Source organism: Homo sapiens, chromosome 19 (assembly GCF_000001405.40).
Source record: "Homo sapiens chromosome 19, GRCh38.p14 Primary Assembly".
NCBI lineage: Eukaryota > Metazoa > Chordata > Mammalia > Primates > Hominidae > Homo > Homo sapiens.
The window spans coordinates 1,797,968-1,822,040 of record NC_000019.10 but is presented as its reverse complement, the minus strand read 5'-3'; the positions used below and the strand labels follow the sequence as shown (position 1 = coordinate 1,822,040).

Here is a 24,073-nt window from a genome sequence, read left to right as displayed (position 1 = left end):
AGCAGGTGGGGGCACCCGAGACCCTTCGGTCCTCTGTCCGGGAGCCAGGGCCTTTCCCTCAGACATCGACGCCTTGGGCTTGGGGTCAGAACACGTGGCAGAGGCCTGGACCACCCCACCGGTGACGTGTCCTCAGCGGCCTCCGCAGCCTGACCTGTGTCCTCTGCCTCGATGGACTTGCCTGAAGGCAGCTAGAGCCTGATGCCATTGCGCAGCCCCAGCCCCTCACCCTGGCCCGGCCCCCTGCACGCGGAGATGCACGTGCTGCTGGCGCTGAGCGGCCGCGGCTGCCTGGTGCTCCGCCACGTGGTGATGGGCAGCCACTCGCCCTGTGCCCACACCCCCTGTGCCCCGCCAGCCCCCACAGGTGCCAAGAGGACCCTTGCGGCCAGCGGCAGCCAGTCCTCCAACGGCCCTGAGCCAGGTGGCCAGCAGCTGAAAACACGCACATTGTCGGGGATGGCGTCCAAGACTACCACCACCATCATCCCTAAGCGAATCGCCCACAGTCCATCCTTACAGGTAGCCCCTCCCATCTCGGCCAGGACCACCACCCCCAAGACCACGCCCTGAGGCCCGGCCACATGGGACCTGCGGAGGGCCAGCCTCGCCCCTGCCCTGCGGGCCTTCGTGCTCCACACCGCAGTACAGCCTTCACCTTCCCTCCCCATGCCTTGGTGTTTTTTTTTTTTTTTTGAGATGGAGTCTCGCTCTGTCGCCCAGGCTGGAGTGCAGTGGCACGATCTTGGCTCACTGCAAGCTCTGCTTCCTGGGTTCACGCCATTCTCTGGCCTCAGCCTCCTGAGTAGCTGGGACTACAGGCGCCCGCCACCACGCCTGGCTGTTTTTGTATTTTTAGTAGAAACGGGGTTTCACCATGTTAGCCAGGATGGTCTCGATCTTCTGACCTCGTGATCCACCCGCCTCGGCCTCCCAAAGTGCTGGGATTACAGGCGTGAGCCACCATGCCCGACCGCCCTGGCGGTGTTTTTTTGTTTTGTCTTGTTTTGTTTTTTTGGTTGGTTGGTGTTTTTTTTTTTTGTTTAGAGACAGGGTCTCTGTTGCCCAGGCTAGAGTGCAGGGGCGCAATCATGGCTCACTGCAACCTCGACCTCCTGGGCTCAAGTGATCCTTCCACCTCAGCCTCCTGAGTAGCTGGGACCACAAGCCGGTGTCATCACACCCCAGCTAATAATTTTGTTTTTTATTTTGTAGAGACAGGGTTTTGCCACGTTGTCCAGGCTGATCTTGAACTCTTGTCCTCAAGTGATCCTCCTGCCTCAGCCTCCCAAAGTGCTGGGATTATAGGCGTGAGCCACCACGCTTGGCCTTGTTTTGTTTTTAATTAATAGACTTTATGTTTTTTGAGCAACTTTAGGTTTCTAGGAAAATTGAGCAGAAAGTACAGCAAGTTCCCTTGTGCCCCCATGGCCTCAGTTTCCCATGACCTTAGTTCCGCTGCCCTCAGTTTCCCCTGCTGCTCCTGTCTTGCCTTGGCGTGTCTGTCCCTACTGCAGCCAGGCTGATCTGTCCCAGCGCACCTCACTCTTGCCTCCAGCCATGGGCACGGCCTCATCGCGTCTGCGTTCCCCGCTGGAGGCCTTGTGGAGGCCCTCACCCATGGCAGCTTTTGCCTTCCCTCTAGAGTTTAAAGAAACCCATTATCCCCAAAGAGTTTGGGGGCAAAGTCCCCACCGTCATCCGCCAGCGCTATCTCAACCTGTTCATCGAGGAGTGTCTCAAGTTCTGTACCTCCAACCAGGAGGCCATAGAGAAGGTGAGGTCCTGGAGTTCCTATCTGGCCGGTCGGGTGGGGACTAGGGGTCCAGGGTGGTCCCCAGACATCCCCCGGCCTCTCAGCCGCAGCTGTGACCCGGAGCTGCCTGGGAGAGATGCAAGTCCCCGACCCCATGGCGACCCCACCGCTGGGGCTCCCCGGCACCAGGCAGGCATGGCCTCAGCTGGGCACCGCCTGTCCCCCAGGCACTGAACGAGGAGAAGGTGGCCTATGACCGCAGCCCCAGCAAGAACATCTACCTGAATGTGGCCGTGAACACCCTCAAGAAGCTCAGGGGCCTGGCCCCCAGCGCTGTGCCCGGCCTCAGCAGTGAGTCCTGGCGGGTGGGCGGGGGAGGCTCAGGGTTGCTCTTGGGGTGGCAGCTGGGCTGGGACCCTCGCTGGGACCTTCACAGCCCTGAGCTCAGCCACAGTCTCAGACAAAAGGAAAGCGCGGTGCTGTGGGGGGGCTGCCTGCTGCCTGGTTCCCAGGCTTCTGTGTAGGACGGACCTGGCCCTGGTGTCCTCGCTGTCAGCCGCCTTCCTCCGCTGAGTGGGGTCTCCAAGCCGAGCCGAGGGGCCGCCTGCTAATGGAGCTGCGGCAGCTTCTTCAAAGCAGGAGGCCCAGGGCTGGGCGAGCTCCATGCATTAAGCTCTGGGGAGGAAGAAAGCGGAGACCTGGGCGTTTCATTGCAGCCTCTCCAGGCTGCATTAAGCTATCACCGGCCCCTGCCCCCGTCCCCGCCTGCATTAGCACTCGGAGGGGCCCTGGGTTGGCGTCGCAGGCTGGGTGGCCCATGAAGGCTCAAAGCCCTCGAAAGCCATTAGATCCCCCGTGCTGTTCTCCCCGCCCTTCCCCCTTCGCTTGAGGGGAGGGGACGAAGACTTTGGGTGTGGGGCCTCCGTGCAGCTCTGGGGCCTGCAGAGCTGGCGGCTGCCCTGCGTCCCTGGCTCACCGCATGTCTGCCTCTCCTGTTCGGGTCAGGCTGGAACCCGGGGTCAGTGGGGTGCTGTCCCAGAAAGGGGGAGTTGAGGCAGAGGTCTGAGGAGGGCAGGGTGGGTGGGAGAGCAGGCGGGGCAGGGGTCTGAGCCAGCTACTTCACACCCTCCTCCCCTCCCTCCCTTCCTTCCAGAAACCAGTGGCCGCAGGGTTGTGTCCCACGAGGTGGTGTTGGGGGGCAGGTTGGCCGCCAAGACCAGCTTCTCGCTCAGCCGTCCAAGCAGCCCCCGGGTGGAGGACCTGAAAGGTAAGGCCCTGCCCCTGCTCTGCCACACGGTGCTTCGTGGGCCTCTGCCGGCCCAGCCCCTGCTGTGCCACACGGTGCTTCGTGGGCCCCTGCCGGCCCAGCCGCCTTTCCCGGTGGTGTCTACCGCCCCGTGGGCCATCCCAGGCAGGGGCTGACCACTGTGCCTGTCCACAGGGGCTGCCCTGTACAGCCGCCTCAGGGAGTACCTGCTCACCCAGGACCAGCTCAAGGAGAACGGCTACCCCTTCCCGCACCCAGAGCGGCCCGGGGGCGCAATCATCTTCACAGCTGAGGAGAAGAGGCCCAAGGACTGTGAGTCGCTGGCCTGCGACGGCCTAGGTGGGCAGGTGCGGGATGTGGGCAAGGCCGGGCATGCGGGCCCCAGCGTGAGCCTCAGCTTCCACCTGGGTCCCCACCCACAGCTTCCTGCAGGACCTGCTGCCGCTGTGGCACCGAGTACCTCGTGTCCTCTTCAGGCCGCTGCATCCGGGACGAGGAGTGTTATTACCACTGGGGACGGCTGCGCCGGAACCGGGGTAAGGCCTTACCCGGGTCCTTCCCCTTCCCACCCATGGCCCCCGGAACCTGGGCCCTCCCTTGAGGCCCCCAGAACTGGGGTAAGGCTTTACCCAGGCCCTCCATCCCACTCAGGGTCCCTGGGCTGCACCGTCTTTGGCAGAGCCGGGGCTAGCCCTTGGCCTCATTTTCTCTCCACCTGTTCTTTATGCAAAAGTAAGACAAGAGCTTTCCCATGACAAGGTTCAAATGCCACCACCTGAAAGGCCCTGTGTCCCTGCCTTCCTGTGCCCTTGGTCCATGGAAATGTGGAGGTTGCTGGCCCCAGGAGCGGAGGGGCTTGTCCCACCCTTGGCCTGGTGGTTCTATTCAATCCCCCAGGCAACCACGCAGCCACGCTCAGGGCACATGGCCAGCCTTGCACAGCCCTGTGGCGGCCCCTAAAGCCATCGCCTCAGGGATACCTGGAGGGTGCTGCCCGGGGCAGCGCTGCCAAGAGGCCTCTGCAGAGGGCACTGGTCTCCCTGGATCCAGGCCTGGGCGTCCTGGCTGCCACACGACTGCCGGGGCCTGGTCTGCTTCCAGCTCCACCAAGAGGCTGAGGCCTCCTGTCCTCAGTCCTCACTCCCTAGTAGGGCTCGGTAGATGCAGGTGGTCAGTGCCCCGGGGGCTGTGGAGTGGGCCTGGCCGGGCCCTGACTGTGTGTCTGTGTCCCCTGCAGTGGCCGGAGGCTGGGAGACCCAGTACATGTGCTGCTCGGCTGCCGCCGGCTCTGTCGGCTGCCAAGTCGCAAAGGTGAGCCCTGGCGTCCCAGTCCCCTCTGCCTGTTCTCAACAGACTTCTGCCTCCCCATCGTTGGTGTGGGGTCTCGGGACACAGCACAGTCCTGGGCTCAGGGTCTGGGCCCCCGGGCAGCCTTTCTTGTGTTACCCAGAGAACGTAGCACCCGTAGGCCCCAGGCCCTGTCCCTGGCCACTTCCCATCCTGGGAAGCCGTCCTCCCTGTGTCTTCTTGGCAAGCCCCCTTCCCCACCTGCTCACCAGGGTCCCAACCAGTGAATGGGCGTGATGGATGGATAGGATGGTCCCGAAGGGCTCAGAGATGTGCTGCTGCTGCCACCCCCGCCCCCACTGCACCCCGAAGCTGCCCTCACCTGCCTTCTCCACCCCCAGCAACACGTGCAGGATGGCCGGAAGGAGCGCCTTGAGGGCTTCGTGAAGACCTTTGAGAAAGAGCTCTCAGGAGACACCCACCCGGGGATCTACGCCCTGGACTGCGAGATGGTGAGGCTGTTCTCTGCCCAGCGTCGGGTTCAGGATTGGGGAGGACCTGGCCTGGTGCGGCCGCCCCATCTGGCCCCATCTGGGCCTGGCTCACCGGCCAGCGCTCAGGGTTTCTCTCGCAGCACCGGTGCCTGTGGCTCCTGCCCTGGACCAACACCCCATACTTCCCAGCAGAGCCAAGCACACCGGGCACTGGGCCCCGGCTCTGCCTCTGAATGGGAGGCAGGAGGGCTTTGCGAAAGGGGGTTACTGAGGTCACACCCCACTCGGCCTCTCCTAGAAGTCCCACAGAGTCTCTGGTCACTGCCTCTGCCTGGAGGGGCTCTGGAGACTCAAAGGGGCAGGGAAGGGGAGGGAGGGAGGCCGGTGCCTGGGACACATCTGAGGTGCATCCCTTGCCCGCAGTCCTACACCACATATGGCCTGGAGCTGACGCGCGTCACGGTGGTCGACACGGACGTGCACGTGGTTTATGACACCTTCGTGAAGCCTGACAACGAGATCGTGGACTACAACACCAGGTGTGGCCAGTGCCCTCCACGAGCTGGGAGCCCTCCCAGCCGCCTCTCCCCAGGGACCCACCCTCCCCCGCCCCACCAGCCAGTGCTTCCAGGCTGAGCCCTGGTGCCCCTCCTGCCCGTTCCCCCAGGTTTTCGGGGGTGACGGAGGCTGACCTTGCCGACACAAGTGTCACGCTGCGTGACGTCCAGGCCGTTCTGCTGAGCATGTTCAGCGCTGACACCATCCTCATCGGACACAGCCTGGAGAGCGACCTCCTGGCCCTGAAGGTGCCCTGCCGGCCCGGGTCCCGCGCGGTTCTCCAGCAGGACCTGCGCAGGCCCCACGTGCGCTGATCTCTGCCGCTGCCCACAGGTCATCCACAGCACCGTGGTGGACACGTCTGTGCTCTTCCCCCACCGCCTGGGCCTCCCCTACAAGCGGTCCCTGCGGAACCTCATGGCCGACTACCTCAGACAGATCATCCAGGACAATGGTGAGTGCCGGTGCCTGCCCTGGGGCCGTCCCTGCGCAGGGGCCGGGTGCTCACCGCATCTGCCCCGCAGTGGATGGGCACAGCTCCAGCGAGGACGCCGGCGCCTGCATGCACCTGGTGATCTGGAAGGTTCGAGAAGACGCCAAGACCAAGCGATGACGCCTGCCCGCCTCCCACCCGCCTCTCCTGCCGTCCCGCTGGTCCTTAGCCCCATGCCTCTTCCAAAACAGTGCAATAAATCTCCGGTAACCCGTCCACCTGGCCGAGGCAGCCCAGAGCAGCGGGATGAGCTGGCGGCCAGAGAACGCCCAGCCCAGCCCACCCCCGCTCACGTCCTGCCGCACCCCTCCGCCGGTCCCCACCCTCTGCCCCCCAGCCCTCTGGCGTCTCTAGAAACTGCTGCTGATGGAGACCAGGACAGAGCCCGCCCCCACCCGGCCCGCAGCCCCTCCTGCCCCTCCTGCCAGGCCCTCCCTCCCGGGTGGTGGCCGGCACCTCTGCTCCTCACGTGGGTCGCGGGGCGGGCTTGTCCCAGGTTTGTTTGAGACAGTCTTTTTTTATTTTGTATTGTTATTTTTATTATTTTTAATTTAAACCTGATGACTTGCACAGCATCTTTCCCACCGGGAAGAGCGGGCCTGCTGCCTTCCCTCCTGCGGGGTGGGGGTGGGACAGACCCCAGTGGGGGCCAGGGCCACACTCAGCGCAGTGTGGGCTGGACCCGCCTCTGTGCTCCAGGGGCTGGCCGGTCTTCGGGGGCGCCGGCTTCCACCACTCGCCGCCCCACCCCTGCACTCCGTGACCTCTGAGAACCCAGCTGGCCCCTCGTTAGCCCCAGGGTCTGCCGTCTAGAGGGAGCCCACCGGCCTCCGGACACTGTCTTCCCGCTAGAGCCCCGTCCTCCTCTGCGGGGCTCTCCGGACCCCCTTCCCCCTCACCTCCAGGCAGGGACAGAATAAATGTTTGTATGGATTTTAGATTTTGTGGTGGTCTTGGTCTTGGTGCCTGGTGAGGCCTCTGCATGTGCCCCGGGGAGGCCACTGTCCCTGCAGCCGGGACTGATTCTCTTCCCATCAACGCAGAGAAAACAGAGCAGTGAAACTTTCCCTCACAAAAGCTGGCCCAGGGCTGGCTCCCCCAGGGCTGGGCCACACCTGCTGTGGGGTCCCAGTTCCAGCCCCAGATCATGGGCCACCATCCTGCAGCTTCTAGTGCCTCTCGGACAGTGGGTGGTGTCCCCAGCCCTGTGTGGAGCTGGGCCCTGTGCACAGAGCTGGCTTCCCTCTCTGCCCTGCCCAGAGATAGGGACTGCACACAGATGGTGAGAGGGGGTTAAAGAGACTGGGAGCTGCTGTGTGTTGCCCGTCAAAGGATGGAGTGCAGACACGGAAAGCTGCTCCGGCCCTTGCCAGGAAACGCCACACATTGTGTAGTGCACGCACGTCTCGGGCAACTGTGGTTGCATCGGGACCCCATTTGGAAATGGGAGGCCCAGGGGTGTTTAGGCCCCACTTTTTATTGACCTCAAGTAGAAAAAGTGATGAGCCTTGCGGGACAGGACCCAGCAGCTGGGGGCAGGTTGCCTGGAGTGGGTTTCCTGCCACCCTGGTCTTGGGCTTCTGCTGAAGGGCAAGGCCAAGGGCACAGGTCCCGGGATGAGGACGTGGGGGCCCTCCCCAGAGGACTCCATCCCAAGGCTCCCTTCCCGGTTCTGGGCTCTGCATCTCTCCAGGGCCCTCCTGGGGGACCGTGGTTAGGCCAGGCCCTTCCACCCTCGAGGGCTGTTCTTGTGACTAGTGACTCTCCCACCTCTTCTGTAAAGGAGTTGTTTTCTTTTTCTTCTTTATTTTTGAGACACAGTCTCGCTTTGTCACCCAGTCTCAGCTGGCTGCAACCTCTGTCTGCCGAGTAGCTGGGATTATGGCTGTGCCATCACACCTGGCTAATTTCGTATTTTTAGTAGAGATGGGGTTTCACCACGTTGGCCAAGCTGGTCTCGAACTCCTGACCTCAAGTGATCCACCTGCCTCGGCCTCCCAAAGCGTTGGGATTACAGGCATGAGCCACTGTGCCCGGCTCTGTGTTCTAAATAAATGGCGCAGGCGTGTATGCGCTCTGTTTCTGTGCATTCCCATGTGATGTCTGCCTCCCCCTTCCCAGAACGCACCTGGTGCCTCAGGACATAGCCCACGGGGGGTCCCAAGGCTGGCCAGCCCTGGCTTCAGCCCCCAGGGACTCCCTTCAGCTTGTGAAGCCACCTGTTGCCACTGGAGGCTTCAGGGCCTTTGCACAAGTGCCCTGGGCAAGCTCCTGCCCCCAGATAGTGCCCCCTGCGAAGGCTGGGGTGGGGGAATCTGGTCCTCACAGCTGCACCCAACCAGGTCTCTTCTAAAGTTTATTAGAACAGTGTGTTCAAACTCCCAGCCCCGGCTTTTTTTCGTAACCACTGAGCAAGCAAGCAAGCACAGGGGAAGTGTTGAAGGAATGAAAGGAGAGAAGTCAAACACAGTGGCCTGCCTGCCTGCTTGTGGTCCCAGCTACTCTGGAGGCTGAGGCAGGAGGATCGCTTGAGCCCAGGAGGTGGAGGCTGCAGTGAGCTCTGATCGCACCACTGCACTCCAGCCCGGGTGACACAGTGAGACTCTGTCTCCAAAAAAAGAGAGGTTCCCTGGCAGCCTCCAGGGCCAAGCAGGCTTCCAATTTGGGCTTCCAAAGAAAGAGGGTTTGTGATCACCGAGAGCCCTCAGGTGGTTGCCGCTTTGATGGGGGAGGTGGCTTCCCTATCCCCCTCCACCCATGTTTGCCTCTCCCTTTGGGCCCTCACCCCAGGTAGCCTCACTCTTGGGGGCATTTCATCTTCAGCAGCCCCTCCGCACACACTTTCTGACCCTGGCTCCAGGCCCTATCGCTGGCCTGGACCCGCCCTAGCCTCGTCGCTGAACTCACCCCTGCCACTTCTTCAGTAAGGATCCCTGAGCCCCTGCCACCTGCTGGAAAGAACCCTGCGGGCTTCCTCTTGGCCTTAGGGTGGTCTCAATGGCTATAACCGCCTCTCCCCAGCCTGGTGCTCAGCCCTGCATCTGCGCCTAGGAGGCGCTCGTTGAACGTGTATGGGATGAATGAACGAACCCAGGACACGGATCAGACATGACTTACATAACCGCCGTTACCTGTGGTCCTTCCTCCTGCACTCTGCCACGCTGGCCGCACCAGCCTCAGCCCCGTCAGGTCTGCAAGGCCCATTCCGACCTGACCCAGGCCCACCTTTCCAAGAACCCTTCCAACCCCGCCCTGCGGTGCAGGTTCTTTCTGCTCCCTGACCAAGCCCGGCCCGGCCCTGCCCTGACACCCTCTTCCCTTTCAGGCTCCGCCCCTGCACTGGCACTGCTCCCTAAGGCCCTCCCAAGGCCCTGCCTTCTGTCCTGGACCCACCCTGAGCGCCCTCCTACCCTGACCCTGCTCTGCGCGGCCCCGCCTTCCTCCTTTGTAACGGCTCCGGATCCCAGCCCCGCCCCTACCATAACACTGCTCCGCAAGGCCATGCTCAACCCCGCTTCCCGCTCTGGCCAAGCCCCTGAGTCCTGGCCCCGCCCCTACTCTGACTTTGCTCAGCGAGACCCCGCTCGTCCTCGCCTTCCTTCTAGTCCCTTCCCCAAAGTCCCGGCCCCTCCCCAGACCCAGGCACTGCTCCCGAGCGTCTTCTATCCCGGCCTGTTCTGCGAGGCTCTGCGAGGCCCCGCCCTTCGGCCGTGACCGCGTCCCTGAGGCCTGGCCCCCATCCTGCTCGGCCGTGCTCCGCTCGGCCCCACCCTCGAGGCCCCGCCCCTTCTTCGCCTTGGCCCCACCCACCCCCTCCAGGCCCCGCCCCCGGCCCCCTTCCGGGGTCCGAACTGGCTCCACCTTCGCCTTGGCCGGGCCCCGAGGCCCCGCCCCGAGATCCCGCCCCCCGTTTCAGGACCGTTGGCACCGGGCTAACGGTTCCACCACGTCCGCCGCCCTGGACGCCCGCGGCCTGCCCCCCCCTGCCTCTCCTGCGCCGGTGAGCGGCGGGTGCTCCCACTGCTGTGCGTCCCCGGGAGCCCGCGCACCCTCTCTGGGCTCCACCCAGGCTGAGAGCTGGGGTCGTGGCGGCGGGGGTGGAGAGCGCGCCCCTAGAGGTTCGCGCGGTCGGGGCCCCGGGGCGGGTGCAGACAGCCCTGGACTCTGGAGCCCTGTCCAGGGCGGTCCTGTGCCCCTGCGGCTGCGGGAAGACGGGGTGGGGGGCTTCCGAGTAATGGGGCATCCCAGTTAGTGAGGGGGCAGGAAGCCAGCGCTGTGTCCGTGTCTCTTTCTGCCCCCAGATACACTTCGAGTGGATTCTGGCCATTTGAGCATTCTCTCCAACTCTCCAATCCCCAGTCTGCCCCCACGGGGGTCTCCCCCACCTCTCCCCCGTCCCACAGCCTAAACCCCTCTTCGCCCTGAACCTCCCTTTTCCTCATGCGGTGAATGGGCACTGGCCCCGCTCAGACTCCCAGGAGCACCAGAGCTGGCCCTGAGCCAAGCCCTGCCCCACCAGGACCTGGGGACACGGGTGACTCAGACGTGACTCAGGAAGGCTCAGGTCCTGCTGGCATCCGCGGAGGTGAGACGGTGATCAGAGCTGGGATGGGAGACTCCCCAGGCAGAGGGGCACCTGAGAGGAGGCACAAGGCCCAGCCTGGCCGGGCTAGGAAGTATGAATGGAGACCAGAAGGGTGAGGACGGGTGCATCGGGTGGCCGGAACACAGGGGCAGGGGCTTGGCGGGGAGGGCACTGCTAGAGAGCTGGCAGGTGGGGGGCCAGTTGCTGGCGTCTAGGGGTGGTTTGCCCATCCTCATAGGGGGCCAAACCAGGGCCCCCGGTGCAGGGCTAGAGCCAGACCCACATTCCTGAACCTGCTAGTGGAGAAGATTCCAGGATCTTCTGACGATGTCCGTCTGCCTCCATCGCCCCCATCAGAGTTTGCTGCCCAGCCTGGGGGGGTGAGGAGGGGAGTGGCCATGCCTGACCCTCATGCTGTGTTTTGAGATATAACATATAGCCCGGGGGTCCCATTCAGTCAGTGAACAGATGACTGAGCCCCTAAGCTGGTGCCACATGGGGAGAGGGGCAGGAGGCCGTCAGTGAAACCAGGAGGAGGTGAGAGTGGTCCTTTCAGGAAAAGCGAGGTGTGGGGAGCAGTGGCCGGAGGCTGGCATGGCCAGAGGCTGGCATGGCTGGCGGTAGAGTCCTTCTAGGCTGTACTGGCGGGAGGCGACCAGGGTGGCTGGCGGGGGACACTGGCAGATGGGCTGTTGCAGGTTTGAGGATCATCTTGGGGTCCCCTAGGTCTCAGGATGTCCAAGGCAAGACACACAGCCTATGGCTGGACATTCAGAGCCTGGCGGGGAGGCTGCAGATGAGTGTGGGAGGTAGCATTTGAGAGGGTCGGCCCCTAGGCTGTGAGCTCCTTGAAGACCGAGTGGTGCCCAGCAAGGGCTGGGGTCACTGCTGTGACCCGGGGCCCTTCTCTCCCACAGCCCCACCAGCATGGGCAGCCTCGGCCAGAGAGAAGATCTCCAAGATGAGGACAGGAACTCAGGTGCTGATCCTGGGCAGAGGGGGCGGTGCAGGTGGGAGGGATTATGAAGTTCAGGGCTGGCCAGGCGTGGTGGCTCTCCCCTGTAATCCCGGCACTTTGGGAGGCTGAGGCGGGTGGATCACTTGAGGTCAGGGGTTCGAGAGCCTGGGCAACATGGAGAAACCCCGTTTCTACTAAAAGTACGAAGATTAGCTGGGCGTGGTGGCGTATGCCTGTAATTCTAGCTACTTGGGAGGCTGAGACAGGAGAATCACTTGAACCCAGGAGACCCAGGAGGTGGAGGTTGCAGTGAGCTGCGATTGTGCTACTGCACTCCAGCCTGGGTGACAGAGCGAGACTCCATCTCAAAAAAAAGAAAAAAGTGCAGGGCTGAGGCTGAGACGGGCTGGGGCCCCCAGACCTGCACGTCAGGCCTTGCCTAGGATTCTCATTTGGTTTCTAGTAGTCTCCAACCCTAGTACTGACTGGGTTTGGGGGATTTGGCTCAGGATTTGGGGGCTGCATGCCCAGAAAGATCTGGGCCGCCAGCTGGATGTATGGCCTTGGACACCCAAGAGCCCATCACCAAGCCTCAGTTTACCCCCCTCTGTAAAATGTACAGGCCTGAACGGTCTCCCAGGGCCTGTTCTCTGCGTCTCAGGACAGGCCCCTGGCTGGGGGTGTGGGTGGCCACTCTCGGAATCCACTTGTGCCGGCGCCAACTATGGGCAGGGTCTGGTAGGTCCCCAGGTGGTGCCTGCTGCCCGACTGTCTGTTTACGGGCTCTGACATCTCGGGCCTCCCCAGTGCCTGGGTCCCACGGGCCCCATGAGCCCTCCTCCGGGCGGTCATTAGGGGTGTTTGTCCTGGGCCTCGAGCTCCAGCGACGCCCGGCTCTCTCGCTGCAGCATTCACCTGGAAGGTCCAGGCCAACAACCGTGCCTACAACGGGCAGTTCAAGGAGAAGGTGATCCTGTGCTGGCAAAGGAAGAAATACAAGGTGGGCGGCCCCTCCCGCGCCTCCCTGCTCCAGAGGAGCTGCCGTGGTACCCTCGGGGAATCTATTTTTTGCTCCTCCTGAGTCCTGCCTCTGCTTGTATTTGCTCGATAGTTTTCTTTTTTTGGTTTTCGTTTTCTTTTTCTTTCTTTCTTTTTTTTTTTTGAGACAGAGTCTCCCTCTGTTGCCCAGGCTGGAGTGCAGTGGCGACATCTCGGCTCACTGCAACCTCCACCTCCGGGGTTCAAGCAATTCTCCTGCCTCAGCCTCCCAAGTAGCTGGGATTACAGGCATGCACCACCACGCCTGACTAATTTTTGTATTTTTAGTAGAGACAGTTTCACCATGTTGGCCAGGCTGGTCTCGAACTCCTGATCTCAGGTGATCCACCCACCTCGGCCTCCCAAAGTGCTGGGATTACAGGCGTAAGCCACTGCGCCCAGCCTCTTTTTTCTTTTTTCTGTTTTGTTTTAAGATGGAGTCTCGCTCTGTCGCCCAGGCTGGAATGCAGTGGCGAGATCTCGGCTCACTGCAACCTCTGCCTCCCGGGTTCTAGTGATTCTCCTGCCTGAGACTCCCAAGTAGCTGGGATTACAGGCACCCACAACCACGCCCGGCTAATTTTTTGCATCTTTAGTAGAGATGGGGTTTTGTCATGTTGGCCAGGCTGGTCTGGAACTCCTGACCTCAAGTGATCCACCCACCTTGACCTCCCGAAATGCTGGGATTACAGGGGTGAGCCACCATGTCTGGCCGATATTTTTATTTTCATCTCGAGGACCGAACCGCCCGTCCTAACCAAATCACTGGTTTGGCACAAGAGTTCTGTGTGTCTCATTTGCCCTGTCCCAGTGCACGTGAGGGTCAGTTAATACCCAACCTGAAAGTACAATGTGTCCATCGCGGCCCTACCTGAAATCCTCTTGGGTGTCTTGCTTTGGGAAATGCTGGTCACAGCTCCATGAGTCTTTGCACTCAGTAGAAGCTTGATTAATGCTGGCTCCAGGCTTTTACATTACTGAGCAGGTGCTCAGTAAATGCTGGTCTGAGGCCTTGCATTCAGCAGGTGCTCAGTAAATGCTGGCCTGAGGCCTTGCATTCAGCAGGTGCTCAGTAAATGCTGGTCTGAGGCCTTGCATTCAGCAGGTGCTCAGTAACTGCTGGCTCAGTAGATGCTTAATGAATGGTGTGTGTCCCATAGCCCAGAGGATGCTGGGCGAGGCCAAGTGAGGCAGGTCTGGCCTCGGGCACCCCCATCCCCTGGCCTGGATGGCACCCCTCTGCCAGGCAGCCCGCGGCTCTCGTTCCAGACCAATGTCATCCGCACGGCCAAGTACAACTTCTACTCGTTCCTGCCGCTGAACCTGTACGAGCAGTTCCACCGCGTGTCCAACCTGTTCTTCCTCATCATCATCATCCTGCAGGTGAGGCGTGTTGCCTCCTCCAGGAAGTCCCCCCTAGCCACCTGGCAGCATCGATGTGTTTGTCTGTGTGATGGGTGGGTTCACGTCCCACTCCCCACAGACTGGGACCCTCAGCGCTGAGTCCCTACTACCCTGCCCAGGGCCTGGCACACAAGAGGCGCTCAGTACATGTTGAATGACAAAGGTGGATGGATGCACCCTCCAGGTCTGATGACGGCACCCTCTCCACGCCCCGCTGGTTCCTGCTGGGCAGGGCTGGGCATCGGGAGGCATAGCTGTTCCCCAGCCTAAACGGCCTCGGCCACGCAGCTCCCCTGGCCCCCGCCCTCCCAGCTGACCTCAGAGGCGAGGGGGAAGGAGGAGCCCAGAGCATGTTCTCAGGACCTGTGGAGCCACTTCCCGGTACCTGGGTGGTCCAGGCCAGCGTGGGGCCGGCATCCGGCCAGGGGCGCTGTTTTCAGAGCAAACACTCTCACCCAACATCTCATTTCTGTTCTGGATGGAGAGGTTCTCCTTTCATCCATCGAGTCATTCAGCATTAATGGAGTACCTACTGTGTGCAGGCCGCTGGCCGGGTGCCAGGGTAGGGGATGGTGGAGCTCACACCTGCAGGGTGACCTGGGGAAGCAGGGACATGGGAGGGAGGGGGAGCAGTGGCGGCCAAGCTTGGGGCTGGGGGAGGCTCCCTGGAGAAGGCACCGTGGGAGCTGGGCTTGGACGGGAGAAGGGGAGTTTGCTGGGGAGACGAGGCGTGTGGGAGAAGTTCCAGGCAGGTGGAGGGATGCCGGGGCGTTTGTCCCGAGGGCTGGGGGTTGCAGGAGATGGCTGGACCCCGGTCAAGGTGGCCAGCAGATGTGTCACGTGGTGTCGAGTGCGGGGCTAGGTCGGCTTGGTGGAAGGGCAGGGGACGGGGGAGTGGGCTGGTGTGACCCTTCCTGTGGCCCCCTCACGTCAGAGCATTCCCGACATCTCCACGCTGCCCTGGTTCTCGCTCAGTACCCCTATGGTCTGCCTCCTCTTCATCCGTGCCACCCGGGACCTGGTGGACGACATGGTGAGTGCTGTTGGATGCAGCTGCCTGGGGGAGGGAGCGGGGCCGGTCGGGGGGGTCTCTTGATCCCTGGGCGAGAGTGGGAGGAGGGCTGGGCTTCCTGGAGCATTAGGGGAACGTGGGCCTGGGAGCCTCAGCTGCTGGGGCTACATTGTCCTTATCTGCTAGCACCCACATTGGGCAGGTGCCGCAGGTGGCGTTGGCTCTGTCGGTGCGTGGTTTTGGGGCCATTGAGCTTTGGTGGGGGGTGGTCTGGCAGGCACTCTAGGTGGTGGGCAGCACGCCTGTCTTCTCCCCGCCAATAGCAGTGGGTCCAGTGGCCCCCACGTCCGGGATCCCTGAGCAGACGCAACGTGGCGTGGGGCCAGCGGACAGGGACCCCGTGTTGCGGGCGGGCACTGCTGGGCTGCAGTGCGGCAGCGGCCTGGGCGGGGGCAGGAGAGGCTGGACGGTCTCTCTGATCCTTTCCCTCCTGGCCCAGGGGAGACACAAGAGTGACAGAGCCATCAACAACAGACCCTGCCAGATTCTGATGGGGAAGAGGTGAGGCTGGGGCTGCAGCTGGGGATCCGCGGGGACACGGGGGCTCCAGCCCAGCAGGGTCATCGGCCTCGGCAAGTGTCCATCACCTTCCGTGCTCCCTGATCTCCCGGCTGGTTGAGTCCGACAGGAACCGGGCCTGCATTCATTAGGCGTTTGGCCGGGACGAGGACAGAGGCCGAGGCCCTGATGGCGAACCCTTGCAGAGCTTAGGGCTCGGGCGATGGGGAGGACAAGGAAAGTCTGAAGAGGACGTGGGTGCAGGACCCTGGAGGTCACTGGGTGGGAGCGTGGACCCGCGGGGAGTGGGGTGGGAGCCCGGGGAAGGCTTCCTGAGGGGGCAAAGGCCCGGAGGTGGGGACTGCAGCTGCGGGCCCCCCGTCATCCCGTGCCTCTGGTCTCCCGGTGTGGGGAGGGTTGGCAGAGGGAGGGGCCTCCTTCACAACCCCCTCTCCCCGCAGCTTCAAGCAGAAGAAATGGCAGGATCTGTGCGTGGGGGATGTGGTCTGTCTCCGCAAGGACAACATCGTCCCAGTGAGCTGGGGTTGACCCCGAGGTCCCAGAACCACGCGCCCCCTCACCGAGAGCACCCCTCCCAGGGTGGGGAGGGCTGCCGCACCCCCAATTTGTCTTGCATCCCCTCTTGCAACGCTGCCCCCCACTCCACACCAGGCCGACATGCTCTTGCTGGCCAGCACGGAGCCCAGCAGCCTGTGCTATGTGGAGACGGTGGACATTGACGGGTGAGGAGCTGTGGCATCGCTGGGGACCCTGGGGGGTGGGGAGCATGGCCCGGAGGAGCCCCCTTCCCCAGTCACCAAGGAGGCGGCCAGCCAAGGTCGCTCAGAGACTTTGGTCACTCACCCCATGAGTGTCTGGGGCGTGGGTGCTGCCAGGCACTGAGGGGAGGAAGACGCCCACCCTCCCCATTGTTTCCATTGTGTGCATACGGGCAGGAGGCCCTAGGCCCTAGGCCCTGGCCTCAGCACTTTGCAAATGTGCTGTGTGGCCTTGGGCAAGGCCTTCTCCCTCTCTGGGCCTCAGCCATCTGACTGGCAGCTGGCGAACTAGTAGGTGCTCAGTGAAAATGTTTGAGTGACTCCAGAAGGGGTCTGGGGGCTCCTCGAAGCATCCATCAACTCCACTTTCACCTCCCTCCTCTCCTCGTCACCAGGGAGACCAACTTGAAGTTCAGACAGGCCCTGATGGTCACCCACAAAGAACTGGCCACTATAAAGAAGATGGCGTCCTTTCAAGGTGAGAGGCGTTGAGCAGGGAGTCACGTCCCTCGAATCTGTAAAAGTTAAAAGTTAGGGTATTTTGTTGTTGTTATTACTGTTTTTAAAACAAGGTGCTGGCCAGGCCCAGTGGCTCACACCTGGAATCCCAGCACTTTGGGAGGCTGAGGCAGGAGAATCACTTCAGCCCAGGAATTCAAGACCAGCCTGGACAACATAACGAGACCCCATCTCTACAAAAATAAAACAAGTAGCTGGGCGTGGTGGCACATGCCGGTGGTCCCAGCTACTTGGGAGGCTGAGGTGGGAGGCTCGCTTGAGCTCAGGGAGGCTGAGGCTGCAGTGAGCTGTGATCACATCACTGCACTCAGCCTGGGCAACAGAGTGAGACCCCTGTGTCAAAACCAAAAATAAAGTGCTACATTCTATTAAGTGTAAAATTTAACCATAACACAGTCACGTTTGGTTGTTTCATTGAAAAGGCACCTGCGTGCATGGGCTGGCAATTCCTGTGGTGGGAAGGCCTCTGAGAACAGAGTGCTGACACCTCCAATGCTTGGCTGTTTCTTTTTCTTTTTCTTTTTTTGAGACGGAGTTTCGCTCTTGTCTCCCAGGCTGGAGTGCAGTGGTGCGATCTTGGCTCACTGCAACCTCTGCCTCCCAGGTTCAAGCGTTTCTCCTGCCTCAGCCTCCTGAGTAGCTGGGATTACAGGTGCGTGCCACCACTCCCAGCTAATTTTTGTATTTTTAATAGAGACGGGGTTTCTTTTTTCTTTTTTTTTTTTGAGACGGAGTCTCGCTCTGTTGCCCAGGCTGGAGTGCAGTGGCGCAATCTCGGCTCACTGCAAGCTCCGCCTCCTGGGTTCACGCCATTCTCCTGCCTCAGCCTTCCGAGTAGCTGGGACTACAGGCGCCCGCCACCAGGCTGGCTAATTTTTTGTATTTTTAGTAGATACAGGGTTTCACCGTGTTAGCCAGGATGGTCTCGATCTCCTGACCTTGTGATCCACCTGCCTCGGCTTCCCAAAGTGTTGGGATTACAGGCATGAGCCACCGCACCCGGCCGAGACGGGGTTTCATCATATTGGTCAGGCTGGTCTCGAACTCCTCACCTCAGGTGATCCACCCACCTTGGCCTCACAAAGTTCTGGGGTGACAGGTGTGAGCCACCACACCCGGCCTGCTTGACGGTTTCTTATTTTCCACCTGGAGATGTTTCACACGTGATGTGGAAACAGTTACTCTTTGCTGCAGCCCAGTCTGGGGGTACAGTTTTGTTTGGTTTTCTTATCTTATTGTGAAGGAGAGTCACTCTAATTGGTTTGAGGACAGAATCTTTTCCTTGCTCCTGACACCCAAAGAGGTTTTCCCCATCTGTCTGTGATATCTGGGGAAAGGCTTAGCCCTGGTGGAGGGGGCCACACCCATCCTCTCTAATTTCCCTGACAGTCCCAGAACTTGGCTAAAGGTTCCTTTTTTTTTTTTTTTTTTTTTTTGAGACAGAGTCTCGCTCTTGTTGCCCAGGCTGGAGTGCAGTGGCGCGATCTTGGTTCACGGCAACCTCCGCCTCCCGGGTTCAAGCGATTCTCCTGCCTCAGCCTCCCGAGCAGCTGGGATCCCAGGCGCCCGCCACCACGCCCAGCTAATTTTGTATTTTCAGTAGAGACGGGGTTTCACCATGTTGGTGAGGCTGGTCTCGAACTCCTGACCTCAGGTGATCCACCCGCCTCGGCCTCTGAAATTGCTGGGATGGCAGGCATAGCCACCGCACCCGGCCGGCTTCCTTCTTTAACACCACTGGGACACAGACTCATAGACAGGCAGCGGCTCTTCCTCTAGCATTTCCTCCCGGGCTGAGCAAGGAGGCTTTTGTGGGCCCTGGCCTCGTCCATCTGCCCCAGCATTCTCACTGGGCATAGACCCATTTTTCAGAGGAAGACACTGAGGTTCAGAGAGGTGGCCTGAGGTGTGGGCTTGCCCTGTGGTTCTCTGCCCTCTGGCCGTCCCACCATGAGCGTCTCCAATTCCTGCATCCAGGATGGAGTCAGGGTCCCCATCCCTAAGACGCGATGGGGAGGCAGGTGAGGACCCTTCAGGAACCCTGTGGCCCCTCTCTCTTCTGGGGTCCCAACCCATGCCCCATTGTCATTTTAACCCTCACTGAATGCTGCCCCGGGCCAGTCTGTGCAGTTCTCCAATGAAGTGAGGCCATTGCAGGGTGTTGGTGAATGGGGGGCTGGTGGTGGTGGTAGACAGGCTCCGGCACCCAAAAGGAGGCTCATCGATCAGGCGTCCCTTCTCCTCTTCCCTCTTGACACATTTATTGAGCACCTACTGCATGCAGGTGCTGGTCCGTGCCCTGGGGTCAGAGTGTGGCCGAGATGAGGCTGGCACCAGTTCTCATGGAGTTCACAGACATTAACAATAGCTTTGCACAGATAAATGTCTCGTCACATGCTGGGATCAGAACCACGAGGGAGGGAGCTAGGAGCTAGGAGGGGCTGATCTGGCTGGAGGATCAGGGAAGTGTGAGTCCCCGTGGAAGGAACAGCCTGCCCAAAGTCCCTGAGGCCAGGTGGGGACAGGAAGGCTTTGGAGGCAGCCCAGTGCTGGGGCACCATAGGGCAAGTTTGGGGCACAGAGGGGCTCGTGAGGGTGGCCGGAATGTTCTCACCTGCACCCGGTGCAGGGAACCTGGGGAGGAGGGCCTGAGCCCACTGACCCACTGACCACCTGGCCACCCACAGGCACAGTGACGTGTGAGGCGCCTAACAGTCGGATGCACCACTTCGTGGGGTGCCTGGAATGGAATGACAAGAAATACTCCCTGGACATTGGCAACCTCCTCCTCCGAGGCTGCAGGATTCGCAACACAGACACCTGCTATGGACTGGTCATTTATGCTGGTACGGCTGCTCCAGGGTCCTGGAGTGGGAGCTGTACTGATGGGAGCGTGGTAGATGGATGTGGGGATGGGTGGGTGGGTAGGTGGGTGGATGGATGTGTGAGAGGATGAGTGCATGGATGGATAGACAAATAGATGGGCAGATGGGTGGGTGGATGGATGTGGGGATGGGTGGGTGGGTGGGTGCCTGGATGTGGGGATGGGTGGGTGGGTGGGTGGATGAGTGGGGGGTGGGTGGATGGGTGAGTGATGGGTGGGTAGGGGTGGAAGGGTGGGTGGGTGAGTGATGGGTGGGTGAGGGGTGGATGGGTGAGTGATGGGTGGGTGAGGGGTGGATGGGTAGGTGGGTGGATGAGTGGGGGAGTGGGTGGATGGGTGAGTGATGGGTGGGTGAGGGGTGGATGGGTGGGTGGGTGGGTGGATAGATGGATACATGTTTGTAGGTTTTGACACAAAAATTATGAAGAACTGTGGCAAGATCCATTTGAAGAGAACCAAGCTGGACCTCCTGATGAACAAGCTGGTGGTTGTGGTGAGCTGCCAACAAGTGCCCCTGCCCCAGGAACACAGAGGAGTGCAGGGTCAGGGATGTCATCTTCCAGGCCTCAGTTTCCTTCTTCTGCAAAATGTGCGGCCTGATCCTGTGGGCAGGTCTTTGGGCCAGAAAATTTTTCATTAAAGTAATTTTTTAAAAAGTTTTATAAAATAATAATAATTATGTATTTATTTATTTTTTAGAGATGGAGTCTCACTCTGTCACCAGGCCGGAGTGCAGTGGCGTGATCTTGGCTCACTGCAACCTCTGCCTCCCGGGTTCAAGCAAGTCTCCTGCCTCAGCCCCTCGAGTAGCTGGGACTATAGGTGCACGCCGCCACGCCTGGCTAATTTTTTTGTATTTTAGTAGAGACGGAGTTTTACCATGTTGCCCAGGCTGGTCTCGAACTCCTGAGCTCAAGCAATCCGCCCTCCTCAGCCTCCCAAAGTGCTAGGATTACAGGCATGAGCCACCGTGCCTGGCCAGAATAAATATATTTTTAGGCTGGGTGAGATGGCTCATGCCTGTAATCCCAGCACGTTCTGGGGCCGAGGTGGGTGAATCACCTGAGGTTGGGAGTTTGAGACCAGCCTGAACAACATGGTGAAACCCCGTCTCTACAGAAAATCGAAAATTAGCTGGGCGTGGTGGCTCACACCTGTAATCCCAGCTACTTGGGAGGCTGAGGCAGGAGAATCGCTTGAACCCCAGAGGTGGAGGTTGCAGTGAGCTGAGATTGCACCACTGCACTCCAGCCTGGACAACTGAGCAAGACTCTGTCTCAATAAATAAATAAATAAAAATAAAAATAAATAAATGTTTTTCGGCTGGGTGCAGTGGCTCACACCTGTAATCCCAGCACCTTGGGAGGCTGAGGCAGGTGGATCACGAGGTCAGGAGATCAAGACCATCCTGGCTAACACAGTGAAACCCCGTCTCTACTAAAAATACAAAAAATTAGCCGGGCGTGGTGGCGGGCGCCTGTAGTCCCAGCTACTCGGGAGGCTGAGGCAGGAGAATGGTGTGAACCCGGGAGGCGGAGCTTGCTGTGAGCCAAGATCGCGCCACTGCACTCCAGCCTGGGAGAGAGAGCGAGACTCTGTCTCAAAAAAAAAAAAAAATTAAAAAAAAAAAAGTTTTTCTATCTCACTCTATTGCCCAGGATGGAGTGCAGTGGCGCCATGATATCTCACTGCAGCCTCCTGGGCTCAAGCGATCCTCGGCCTCAGCCTTCTGAGCAGCTGAGACTACAGGTGTGCGCCACCATGCCTGACTAATTTATTTTTTAAGTTTTTCGTCGAGATGAGGTCTCACTTTGTCGCCCAGGCTGGTCTTGAACTCCTGACGTCAAGCCATCCGCCTGCCTTAGCCTCCTGAAGTGCTGAGATTACAGGCATGAGCCACTGTGCCCAGCCCCAGCCTTATCTTTGTGTTTACCCCATCCTGATGGCAGAGTGGGGGACCCCCGCCCCCCTCACCCACCCTGTCGCGTCTGCCTTCCAGATCTTCATCTCCGTGGTGCTTGTCTGCCTGGTGTTGGCCTTCGGCTTCGGTTTCTCAGTCAAAGAATTCAAAGACCACCACTACTACCTCTCGGGGGTGCATGGGAGCAGCGTGGCCGCAGAGTCCTTCTTCGTCTTCTGGAGCTTCCTCATCCTGCTCAGCGTCACCATCCCGATGTCCATGTTCATCCTGTGAGTCTCCGCCGGCTGCGTCCCCGGTGCAAACGCGGAACGGGGAGGCATGGGGATGGCACACAGCAGGCGGGGCTGACCGTGACCCTGAGTGCCTCTGCAGGTCCGAGTTCATCTACCTGGGGAACAGCGTCTTCATCGACTGGGACGTGCAGATGTACTACAAGCCGCAGGACGTGCCTGCCAAGGCCCGCAGCACCAGCCTCAACGACCACCTGGGCCAGGTGGAATACATCTTCTCGGACAAGACGGGCACGCTCACGCAGAACATCTTGACCTTCAACAAGTGCTGCATCAGCGGCCGCGTCTATGGTGCGGCCCCGACACCTGAGCTCCCAGCTGGGTCCTCGATCTTCAAGGGGCTCAGGGTGCCTGAGAACCAGAGCCACGTCTGGCCCCATGCCCAGCACCTCCGCCCGAATCTGAACCAGGGAACCGTAGCCAGATGGCCTGGTTTCCTTTGGAGGGGGCCAGGAAAATTTTTTTTTTTTTTTGAGGCAGAGTCTCACTCTGTCTACCCAGGCAGGAATGCAGTGGTGCAATCTTGGCTCACTGCAATCTCCACCTCCCAGGTTCAAGCGATTCTCCTGGCTCAGCCTCCCGAGTAGCTGGGATTACAGGCACCTGCCACCACACCTAATTTTTTTGTATTTTTAGCAGAGATGGGGTTTCACCATGTTGGCCATGCTGGTCTCGAACTCCTGGCCTCCGGCGATCCACCTGCCTCGGCCTCCCAAAGTGCTGGGATTACAGGCGTGAGCCACCACGCCCGGCCGACTTTTTTTTTTTTTTTCTCTCTGAGACGGAGTTTTGCTCTCGTTGCCCAGGCTGGAGTGCAGTGGTGCGATCTCTGCTCACTGAAACCTCCGCCTCCTGGGTTGATTCTCCCGCCTCAGCCTCCCAAGTAGCTGGGATTACAGTTGCGTGCCACCCCGCCTGGCTAATTTTTGTATTTTTTTTTTCAGTAGAGATGGGGTTTCACCCTGTTTCCCAGGCTGGTCTCGAACTCCTGACTTCAGGTGATCTGCCTGCCTCAGCCTCCAAAATATTGGCATTGCAGGCATGAGCCACCACACCTAGCCAAACTTTTAAACAGTGTGTATTTATTTATTTTTTGAGATGGGGTCTTGCTCTGCCGCCCAGGCTGGAATGCAGTGGTGCAATCATAGCTTATTGCAGCCTCGAATTCCTGGGCTCAAGCAATCCTCCCACTTCAGCTTCCCAAGTAGCCGGGACTACAGGAGAGTGCCACCTTACCCAGCTTATTTTTGTATTTTTTGTCAAGACAGGGAATCCCTATGTTGCCCAGGCTGGTCTTGAACTCCTGGGCTTAAGCGATCCGCCTGCCTCCGCTTTTCAAAGCACTGGAATTACAGATGTGAGCCACCACACCCGGCCACTGCTCTTCTTTTGACTTTCACAAGCCTTTATTTGTGGATGCTGAAATTCGAATTGCTGAGTATTTCTCAGATCACAAAATAAAATAGTTTTGTTTGTTTGTTTGTTTTTTGTTTTTTTTTTGAGACAGAGTCTCGCTCTGTCGCCCAGGCTGGAGTGCAGTGGCGCGATCTCGGCTCACTGCAAGCTCCACTTCCCGGGTTCACGCCATTCTCCTGCCTCAGCCTCCCAAGTAGCTGGGACTACAGGCGCCCGCCACCACGCCCGGCTAATTTTTTGTATTTTTAATAGAGACAGGGTTTCACCGTGTTAGCCAGGATGGTCTCGATCTCCTGACCTCGTGATCTGCCTGCCTCAGCCTCCCAAAGTGCTGGGATTACAGGCGTGAGCCACCGCGCCCGGCCACAAAACAGTATTAGTATTATTCTAGTCATTTTTTTTCCTGACCATTAAAAATCCAAAAACAATTCTTAGCTCGCAGGCCGTACAAAAATTGATGATGTGGTGGGGTGTAGTTTGACAGCCCCGGGTCTAATTTATAACCAGGGCACGTGGTTTGGACTGGGTCATAATTTAGTGTAGTGAGAAGTCCCCAAGAAATGGTTCAAGTTCAGCTATAGAAAAATGGGCCCGAGGTTGAGGCGGGTGGATCACCTGAGGTCAGGAGTTCGAGAGCAGCCTGGCCAACATGACAAAACCCCGTCTCTACTAAAAATACAAAAATTAGCCAGGCATGGTGGCAGGCACCTGTAGTCCCAGCTACTCAGGAGGCTGAGGCAGGAGAACTGCTTGAACCCGGAGGTGGAGGTTGCAGTGAGCCAAGGTCACGCCACTGCACTCCAGCAGCCTGGGTGATAGAGAGAGACTCCATCACACACACACACAAAAGACAC

At 59.8% G+C, this 24,073-nt stretch overlaps 2 protein-coding genes and 1 non-coding gene across 13 annotated transcripts in view, besides 5 other annotated features; all 3 read left to right on the top strand.

Moving 5' to 3' along the window:
* The window catches only part of REXO1 (RNA exonuclease 1 homolog), a 33,236-nt gene extending 26,443 nt beyond the window's left edge, over positions 1-6,793 (top strand). For 2 of the 9 annotated variants that reach the window (XM_011528144.2, XM_011528146.3), the window contains exons 5-15: positions 359-522; positions 1,646-1,777; positions 1,984-2,107; positions 2,910-3,023; positions 3,198-3,362; positions 3,446-3,559; positions 4,261-4,334; positions 4,712-4,822; positions 5,228-5,343; positions 5,472-5,610; positions 5,696-6,793. In XM_011528144.2, the coding sequence (XP_011526446.1) occupies positions 359-522; positions 1,646-1,777; positions 1,984-2,107; positions 2,910-3,023; positions 3,198-3,362; positions 3,446-3,559; positions 4,261-4,334; positions 4,712-4,822; positions 5,228-5,343; positions 5,472-5,610; positions 5,696-6,361 (1,919 nt within the window). In that variant the 3' untranslated portion in view covers positions 6,362-6,793. The other 7 variants (NM_020695.4, XM_017027029.2, XM_017027028.2 and 4 more) reach the window with 7 other exon arrangements.
* Positions 5,803-5,882, top strand: MIR1909 (microRNA 1909). Its single transcript, NR_031730.1, has one exon. It is a non-coding gene; the product is annotated as a microRNA 1909 (primary transcript).
* Positions 8,972-9,131: an enhancer, noted in NCBI's record as "active region_13626". NCBI's record gives its function as "activates an Ori minimal core promoter by ATAC-STARR-seq in GM12878 lymphoblastoid cells {active_cell/tissue: GM12878}" and the evidence as "EXISTENCE:reporter gene assay evidence [ECO:0000049][PMID:35858748]".
* Positions 9,512-10,257: an enhancer, noted in NCBI's record as "H3K4me1 hESC enhancer chr19:1811783-1812528 (GRCh37/hg19 assembly coordinates)". NCBI's record gives its function as "activates a minimal SCP1, AML or CMV promoter by ChIP-STARR-seq in primed H9 embryonic stem cells {active_cell/tissue: H9 hESC(primed)}" and the evidence as "EXISTENCE:reporter gene assay evidence [ECO:0000049][PMID:30033119]".
* Positions 9,682-10,051: a silencer, noted in NCBI's record as "silent region_9744". NCBI's record gives its function as "represses an Ori minimal core promoter by ATAC-STARR-seq in GM12878 lymphoblastoid cells {active_cell/tissue: GM12878}" and the evidence as "EXISTENCE:reporter gene assay evidence [ECO:0000049][PMID:35858748]".
* Positions 9,765-24,073, top strand: part of ATP8B3 (ATPase phospholipid transporting 8B3) — a 30,202-nt gene continuing 15,893 nt past the window's right edge. The window contains exons 1-14 of one of the 3 annotated variants that reach the window (NR_047593.3): positions 9,765-9,855; positions 10,157-10,440; positions 11,358-11,419; positions 12,307-12,398; positions 13,706-13,819; positions 14,775-14,873; positions 15,352-15,413; positions 15,533-15,944; positions 16,083-16,153; positions 16,585-16,667; positions 19,396-19,554; positions 19,997-20,085; positions 21,592-21,782; positions 21,886-22,094. Coding sequence is in view for 2 of the 3 variants with exons in the window: in NM_138813.4 (NP_620168.1) it covers positions 10,305-10,552; positions 11,358-11,419; positions 12,307-12,398; positions 13,706-13,819; positions 14,775-14,873; positions 15,352-15,413; positions 15,872-15,944; positions 16,083-16,153; positions 16,585-16,667; positions 19,396-19,554; positions 19,997-20,085; positions 21,592-21,782; positions 21,886-22,094 (1,552 nt within the window). In the remaining variant the exon portion in view is untranslated. Of the gene's footprint in view, positions 9,974-10,156; positions 10,553-11,357; positions 11,420-12,306; positions 12,399-13,705; positions 13,820-14,774; positions 14,874-15,351; positions 15,414-15,532; positions 15,945-16,082; positions 16,154-16,584; positions 16,668-19,395; positions 19,555-19,978; positions 20,086-21,591; positions 21,783-21,885; positions 22,095-24,073 lie in introns of all 3 variants that reach the window. The other 2 variants (NM_138813.4, NM_001178002.3) reach the window with 2 other exon arrangements.
* Positions 17,924-18,124: a silencer, noted in NCBI's record as "peak3225 fragment used in MPRA reporter construct". NCBI's record gives its function as "represses an SCP1 promoter by STARR-seq MPRAs in K562 erythroleukemia cells {active_cell/tissue: K562}" and the evidence as "EXISTENCE:reporter gene assay evidence [ECO:0000049][PMID:32103011]".
* Positions 22,009-22,179: a silencer, noted in NCBI's record as "fragment chr19:1799861-1800031 (GRCh37/hg19 assembly coordinates)". NCBI's record gives its function as "represses an EF-1alpha promoter that drives an FKBP-Casp9 reporter gene in an ReSE screen in HepG2 liver carcinoma cells {active_cell/tissue: HepG2}" and the evidence as "EXISTENCE:reporter gene assay evidence [ECO:0000049][PMID:32094911]".